This window comes from Homo sapiens, chromosome 21 (genome assembly GCF_000001405.40).
Source record: "Homo sapiens chromosome 21, GRCh38.p14 Primary Assembly".
Classification (NCBI taxonomy): domain Eukaryota; kingdom Metazoa; phylum Chordata; class Mammalia; order Primates; family Hominidae; genus Homo; species Homo sapiens.
In genome coordinates, this window is record NC_000021.9 from 16632647 (window position 1) to 16641604 (window position 8958).

The following is an 8958-nucleotide window of genomic DNA, read 5'->3' on the forward strand; positions in this document are numbered from 1 at the left end:
AAAGGTACAAACACAATGAACTGAGAATATTAGACAGCCAGGATGGCTAGAACCTAGTAAGCAAATGGGAAAAAATGTAGGGAATAAGTTAGAGGCAGGGAGGCAGATAGGGACTAAAATTACATATGGGAGGCTCTGTAAGGCATTTGAATGTTATTCATGTGGAAAAAGTTATAGCCAAAGGGAGGATGCTATGATTTTCTCAAGTTGGGTTAGGTACCCCTTGGGTTATGTTTTAATTTGACTGCTTTTGTTGCAGCCAGAAGGTTGTAGAATGAGGTGGAGTATTTCCCATGGGAGCTGTGGTTCTGGGCAGATAAAACAATGCACAATTCTATTCTCTTCACAATTCTGTTCAAGTACTTCTGTTATAAATCCCCTTAACAGTAAGTGCCCCCATTGTCAATCACAGTGGCCACTGCTCTTCCAAAACCAGCTTTATCTAGGTTTTATTTTCTACCAGTTTTCAATATCTTAAATTTTCTTCTCTTTTATACAATTTTAAGGCTGTTTAAAAGGGCTAGCTCAATTGGAATATGCATAACTTTCCAATGTTGGAAAGTGATCTTTGCTATGCTGATCATTGATTGATTACCTGACAGTCAACACCTATTTGAATCACTGTCTCTTGCCTCTAAGCATTGGCTTCCAAGTAGATTTCACTGGGCTTTGTATTTTAAAGTTTCCTATTTTCCAAGCTCTGTTATTTGCCATGCTTCTTTTCAGTTTTCTTAGGAAAAAAATGATTGGATCCTGGGGGCATTTGCTAGATATCTGGCAAGGAGCATCACACAGGTATAAAAGCAAGTCAACCTAACTGAGGAAAATTGAGTAAAATGGAAAAGGATGCCAGTAGAAAGGAGAGAATCTGGGAGGAAAAAAAAAAGGGAAACTATATACAGTCAGGTAGTAGTCATATCAAAAAACAAAGGAATGCCCCCAAAGAGTTATGAATTGCTGCAGGAGAATTAATGAGATGGAAAATTTCTCAAGGAAAAAGAGCCAAGTATATATAAAGGGGAGAAAAGCATAAAATGAAGAAAAAAAAAAAACAAATAAGGCAAAATAAAAATTTTTAAAAACCCCATAGTGCAGGGTGAAAGAGTAAAACAAAAGAAAGGATAAATTAGGAAATGGTGCATTGCATTAAAGCAAATGTATTCTGTTTTCTTTATTCTTATCTTTAACTGGCTTTGCATTTCTCGGGTAGCAAAGCCAAACTGAAAGGATAATTTTGTTTATGTACCCAATTTGCATAATTGTGCAATATAAATTACAATGCTAATTAAGGACAGCCCTTGGGCTTCTGGAATTGGGTCAAAGTGGCTCCCCAAGTGCAGGGAGGTTGGGGCATTGGCTCTGTCCCCTCTCCCACTGCAGGGAAGCTGGGCAAGAACCTCTCTGACAGTGTGTGAAATCTTGTCAGAATTTGTTGAAGACCCAGAACTGTATGTCTCACTCCCAGACTTGGCTTTTAAAATCATTTTTGTGTGATTCCGCAATGAAGCTCTTGAAAGCTAAAATTTCTTCTAAATGCGGTGTTGGTTATCATTTTATGAGTCCCCTCCCATTTTTTTTTTTTTTTTTAATTCAGAGAATTTTGGTTGAAACACTAGATAACTGAGCATGAAGCTGGCATGCAATATTTTCTCACTGGACTCTTGCCAGAATTGTCTCAAACCAGTGTATGATATACTCTGCTCAGGCTTTTGTGAGCCGGGGGAGATGACAAGCTGATTTCTGAGCTTTAGTTAAATCCATGTCCTTGAAACTAACTAAACAATTGCACCATAACTACATCAAATTCAGTCCCAGAGCATTTATTCCCTGCACTGTTCATAATAGATGATTGAAAGGAGTAGGGTTCTTACCATCTTTAGCATGGGTTTTTTCAAGGAAAGAATTATTTCTGAGTTACTGTTGTGAAGGCTGGCATAACTACTTTGGAGGAACCTCTGTTTAGGCCTGTTTTGGAGGTGGTGTTTGGCAAGCCTTTGGTAGCCATTGAAACTTGACCTCAAGCAAGTTGTATGCAAAATAGAAACAAGCAGCTCTCAAACACTCAAGTACTTGAGCCGACGGGTAGGGAGGGAGACCTATTATCCTGTCTATGTCGTCTCTATTCACGTTCCTTTTTCTCCTTCACCTTTTGAGAGAGTGTAAGCCCCTTTTATAAGAGATTGATTACCTCACTTGGGTAACAGCTTAACAGTCAAGGCTGCTAGTTGTGTACACATGATTTTGACTTTGAAATACCAAGAAGCTCTTTCCACTGGGATAATTATAGGAGTGATTGGAAAATACGTGGCCTGTGTTACTTTGTTTGCTAGAGCAATGTTTTCCAAACTCTTTCATATCCAGACATGAAAAAACAAAAAGATAACTGTGTGATCCTGGGGTGCTATAGTCTGAATATTTTTGTATCCCCTTGGTGGTAAAGATAACCCCCAAGGTAATGGGATGAGAAGGTGGGGCCTTTGGAAGGCAGTTTAATCATATTAGTGGAGCTCTCATCAATGCAGTAAGTGCCCTTATAAAGGAGGCCTAAAAGAGACTCCTTGCTCCTTCTGCCATGTGATATTTCAGTGAGAAGACAGCTATTTATAAAGAAGTGGGCCTTCAGGAAACTTGGAATCTATAGTCCCTTGATCTTGGACTTTCCAACCTCCAGAACTAGGAAAAAAATACTGTGTTGTTTTTAAGCTACTCAGTCTATGGTATAGCAATCTGAACAGACTAAAACCTAGGGTAAACTAGAGGAGAATTGGGACTGTGGGCAGGGCTGCTCATGTTCCAAGGTGACTGGATCTGTGGCTTTGCCCAACTCAACCTTCCAATTTCCTGAAACTAAGGGTTTAATATCTTGTGGCACATCAGTATATCTCGAGCAAGGTTCCACACTGTAATCCATGCAGCAACAATGTTCAAGTGATCATTCATAAGGAGTCCACGGTCAAATCAGCATGGGGTAAGTTGGGTTAAACACACAGACTTAAACATGTTTATCACAAGAATTGTGACATTAGCAACCCTTATTTCTACCACTTCTCTTTTCCCTATGGAATCCACCTCTCTGCACTTTCACTTTTCTCCACATGGTTTGGGTGGAACTGGCCTATCCTTGGCTATAAAGGAGGGCACTTGACCTGTTCTGGTCAGTGAGAGCAGCTTATCCCCCAGGCCATAGGGATTGGTTCAGGCTGACAGTAGACTAGAGCATGGCAAATCAGAGTCAGACTCAGGAACAATGGAAAAATTTGGCAAATTCTTGGTAGTATTTTTTGAGCATGTAGATAAAACTATGAATGAATTTTCTAAGTTACTCCTCGTATCCGAGATAACATACCTCTCATTTTGCTGAAGCTAGTCTGAATTGAGTACTATTTTCAACTGGAGAAGTCTTGATTGATATTTACTTTTATTTCCTAAGATTCAGCTCTAATAGATCATGTTCCTGCTTAAAAGTCTCCAGGACTCACCATTACATAGGGGATAAAGTCTAAGTAATTATAACTTAATATATAGGTTTTACCTATAATTGCAGTAAATATGGGGCGGGTTCTCTCTCACTGGTTTATTGATGACAGTGTTAGCTAAGAGTAAACAGGGTGGTCAGAGTCTGTAGTCTAGTTAAGTATCCTTTTAATACATTGGTTGAGGGGTCCTCAACAAACAGATTGCTTTTTGCTCCTAGAGTTGATCATGCTTTTGGGTATATTTTTTTTTTCCTTTCTTCTGCAATTGTTCAGGTGCATTTAGTAACTCCAGCCTTTCTCTCTGGCGTATACTTTGTTACTAATTATAAAGGCATAATCTTGACAATGTAGACATTTTAGAGAATACTCCTTCTGATGGTTGTATATATATTGAGAACAGTTACCGTAAAGCAGTGATTCTTAAAGTGTGGTCTCCGGACCAGCATATTGTCACCTGGGAAATTGTTAGTGATGTAGAGTCTTGGGCCAAACCTCAGACCCATTGAATCAGAAAATCTGGGGATGATGGCCAGCAATTTGTATTTTAATAACAAGGTGATTCTCTTGCGTGATAAAGTTTTCAAACAGTTGACAAGAAAGGTCAAAGCCTGGAGAATATCTTGGTCGAGGACTTCCTAAAACCTTCTATCTCATTACCCCAATATACTTTCCTCATGCCTTTTTAATTGCTATTTCACTAGAGTTTTTACTTCTCTCGGGAGCTCATCCTATTTAACCGGGTTTTTAGTTTTACAATTTCATGCCCACTCTGCGTGGATCTATTGTCAGGTTCTCACTTTTCTTGATAGTTTTCTTGGAAAATTAAAAGATCAAGCCAACTGGATTTTTATTATTTCAACTGCCATTATATCTTCTTCAGGGTGTTTTAAAATTATCATATACTTGCTCCCCCCTCCCAACCCCTTTACCATCTTGTTGATTTCAGACTAGTATTTAAATCATATTTCCTAGACAGGCAACTTATGCCATTGTGAGATACAAAATAGTTCATATAACATAGCAAGGGGATATCATTCTAGAATTAAACTCATGTTACAGAAATTTCATCACGAAGGTAAAACACATTTGTATAAATTGAACTTTGACTATATTTGCATCACAAGCAGTAGACCAAGACAGACACTGTTTAATCATTTAGAGCATCAGCTATAAAGTCAGACTTCCTGAGTTCAGATATAACCCACCACTTGCTGATTATGTGACCTTGGGCAAACCCTCTGTGCCTCAGTTTCTTTTTCTGCCTGAATAAGGAAAATGCTTAGTAAATTTTAGTTAATGCTACAGCTTTTGAGGCAACATCCTGAGAAAGATGCCCACACGTAATAGCAAGGCAAGGTTTGTCTAAACTAAAATCCTGTCTCTGTGAACACACATAAAGGCTCATATTTTGAAGACAAAGAGAATTGGTTGAGAATGATTAAACCTATACTGGTAAATGAAAATAACAAACAATTCTTATAAAACTTGCAGAATGTACTCAAACTTAACATAACTTTAATTAATATGCTATCAGATTTAGTTTAGTTCACATTAACCCAAGCCCAGAGACTTACACCAATTTTAGTTAAGATAATAGTCTCTGTTTTTTCTAATCTAGTCTCTTTTTATTTGACTAGAAGTTCTTACTTTCCTTTTCTGAGGGCCTAATTCTCTTCTAAGTCCACTAACTCAGATGTTATCATCATGTTTATAAATGGATCAGTCCCAGGTGTTGTTACTTCCATGCCTGTGAGCACATATTATCGTTTGTAAAAAAAAATGTTCTAAAGTTTTTAAATAGCTAAAAATTCATGTTAAAATTCTTGCTATACAGCAGCCCAGAAGAGGTATGGCTTTTCTCCACTATGGCTATGATGCCTGCCAGGAATTATTAGTTGTTCCAGTAATGTCCCTAATACCTGTCTGAATAATCTTTGGGTGACTGGGTATAGAATTTTACACTCTATAGCATACTGGCTAAATTTGCTTCTTCACAGTTATACCCATCATATACTGTCTGGTCTTAAAAATTCACTTACATATTACATGTATACCTGCATTTGCTTATTTAAAAACTATTAAATATCAGGTACTGTTCTAGGCATCAAAAACACAAGGTTTACTTAAGTCCCTGCCATTATGATGCTTACATTAACAGTGAAATAAACTGTAATCATTCTAGAAGGCAGAAACCGAAAGTTTTCTTGTCTGCCTTTTTCTTAGTAGAGTGCTGGAAACATAAGTAGGTGCTTAATAAAGACTCCTGGATTATTAAAATGCATACTATACTTAAAATGTTAGGAACTTATGGCCGGGCACAGTGGCTCACACCTGTAATCCCAGCACCTTGGGAGGCCAAGACGGGCGGATCACCAGGTCAGGAGATCGAGACCATCCTGGCTAACAAGGAAAAACCCGGTCTCTACTAAAAATACAAAAAATTAGCCGGGCTTGGTGGCGGGCCCCTGTAGTCCCAGCTACTCGGGAGGCTAGGCAGGAGGATGGCATGAACCTGGGAGGCGGAGCTTGCAGTGAGCCGAGATCGCACCACTGCACTCCAGCCTGGGCGACAGAGTGAGACTCCATCTCAAAAAAAAAAAAAAGAAAAAAATATATTAGGAACTTCTGAGGAGCCTAGTTGAAGAAGGAAGCTCAGCAAATGCAGGCTTATGGAGTGGAAGATTATTTGAGCAGCAAATCACTTTAGAGAATACCTAGTAGAACTGCTTACTTTTTAGGTGAAATAACAGAAAATACCTGTTGTTTTAGTAAGGGAGAGACCACCCTTCATATTGTCTTATGCCCAATTTCTGCCTCCAAAGAAAGAAGAAGTAAAAACTAAAAGGCAGAAATGAAATCCACAAGCATACAGCCCTGCGCCACACCCTGGGCCTGGTAGTTAAAGATCCACCCCTGACCTAATCGGTTATGTTATCTATAGATTGCAGACATTGTATAGAAAAGCACTGTGAAAATCCCTGTCCTGTTCTGTTCCATTCTAATTACCAGTGCATGCAGCCTCCAGTCACGTACCCCCTGCTTACTCAATCGATCATGACCTTCTCACGTGGACCCCTTAGAGTGGTAAGCCCTTAAGAGGGACAGGAATTGCTGACTCGGGGAGCTCAGTTGTTGGAGAAGTGAGTCTTGCCGAAGCTCCTGGCCAAATAAAGCCCTTCCTTCTTTAACTCGGTGTCTGACGGGTTTTGTCTGCGGCTTGTCCTGCTATATTAGCAATTAAAAATTAACTGTACCATACAGTCAGTTGACTATACCATACAGTGTACCAACAGTATACCCCCCTGCCCCCTGCTGACATAGTGAAGACTTGTGGGAAGTATCAGAAAGAGAACTGGAATTAAGGAGGAAAATCAAGATTTGTGACTTTAGCCAAATGTCTTGGGTTCACGAAACCCACATAAAATGGCTCATTTTGGGGGATATTGTGAGAATTAAAGGAATAGAATATTTGAAAACACTTTGGTACATTTTTCTAGGCAGAACAGAATTGAGTTTTGGGGAGGGTGTCTTGAGTTAAAGATGGTGATGAAAATAATGAGTCATTGAAATAGAAGGAAACATCCTAATTTACAGTCATTAAGGACTGCCATGAAATTCCACCCCATGAAAATCTGAAATGGGTATATATACCTTCAGGAATGTGTAGCTTGATCATCAAGAGATTCAAGTATACTGCCACAACACACTTATAGTTTAGACCATGATCGTGTGGTAGAGACAGTTAAAAATATTTAATCTCTCTTATTCTCAAATAATGAGTATAGGAAACAAATAAGAATTTAAATATTTCTGAAGATCATCATGAAAATGTCTAGCATATTTTGTAAACAACAATTTCTTGGATTATTAGATACTTTGCTGTTTGCTTTTCAGTAGGCACAAACATATTGTGAGATGTTCTGTATTTATGAAGTTACAATAAACTGTGAAAATAACAGAATGCATTCTGGGTAAGCTAAAGCAGTAGTCCAGATATTTCATTAAAATTCAGATCCATACTTTGGGTTGTATTCTTATTCAAAAATATTTTTAAAAATATTATTGTAAGTATGTTTCTTATCGCCAATTTTTAATTTTCATTTGTAGGTTGTGGAAAATGCACTAGAATCAACAAACATGGGGACTAATTCAACTCGGATATCATGTCTTCAGAGAAGTTTCTCCTGCCCTCCTCTCCCTGTAGAATTAAGTATTCTTCCACTGTGCCACCCTCTAACTTGTGCTCATATCTTCCTCTATTGTAGTTATGTGTTCACATCCCTGTTGTTTTTGTACCGGCTTCTCCCAAAGGGAGACATTTAGTCTTATTCTTCTTGGTAACTTTAGCACAGACCTGGCAGATTGTTGACACTCAACAAATGTTTATTGACTCAAATGCATTCAGTTGAACATTGACCTTTGATCAACTCTGGGAAAAGTCTGCAAAGCTAGTTAGGACATTCAGAAATTCATTTCATTTCAATCCTAACTAAATAAATTATTGAAGTCTCAGAACTTCTCAGTACTTGATTTAGACACATAGAAACTTGGGTAAATAACACCTATATTGTTATATTCCTCAAGAAAAAGTTTATCTTTTCATGAAATGAATCTACTGAGGATATTTATAGAAACTGAATGTAAGTGAGCAGAATAAAGTGGTGTGTGTGTGTGTGTGTGTGTGTGTGTATGTAATTTGAAGAGTAGGTGGGAGAAGGTTGTGATAGGATAGCAGATCTTGTTTATGATAGTCACCAGCTATAACAGACACTGCCTGATGCCTTTCCAATATCCACTTCCCTTTTCTTTTTTTTCTTTTTGGAACAGAGTCTCACTCTGTCCCCCAGGCTGGAGTGCAACAGCACGATCTCGGCTTACTGCATCCTCTGCCTCCTGGGTTCAAGCAATTCTCATGCCTCAGCCTCCCTAGTAGCTGGGATTACAGGCTCTCGCCACCACGCCCAGCTAATTTTTGTGTTTTTAGTAGAGACGGGGTTTCGCCATGTTGGCCAGGCTAGTCTTGAACTCCTGACCTCAGGTGATCCACCTGCCTCAGCCTCTCTAAGTGCTGGGATTACAGGCGTGAGCCACCGTGCCTGGCTCTCTTTTCTTACTTAATGTCTGTGTCAATTAAATAGAAATGTATCAAGTTAAAAACCTTGCCTCGGTAGCTTCCAGTGCAAATAAAGGTACCCATGCCACCCCATTCTGGCCAGCAGTAAAATTGATGGAAGCCTCTGGTTGGGGCTTCAAGGAAAGCTTTATCAAAAGATAAACTCACTGGCTTTGTCCCTTAGTTCAGTGGTCCCCAACCTTTTTGGCACCAAGAGACCAGTTTTGTGGAAGACAATTTTTTCCATGGACCAGGAGGGTTCCGGGGGATGGTTTTGGGATGAAAATGTTTCACCTTAGATATCATCGGGCATTCAATTCTCATAAGGAGCCTGCAACCTAGACCTCTCACATGTGCAGTTCACAATAG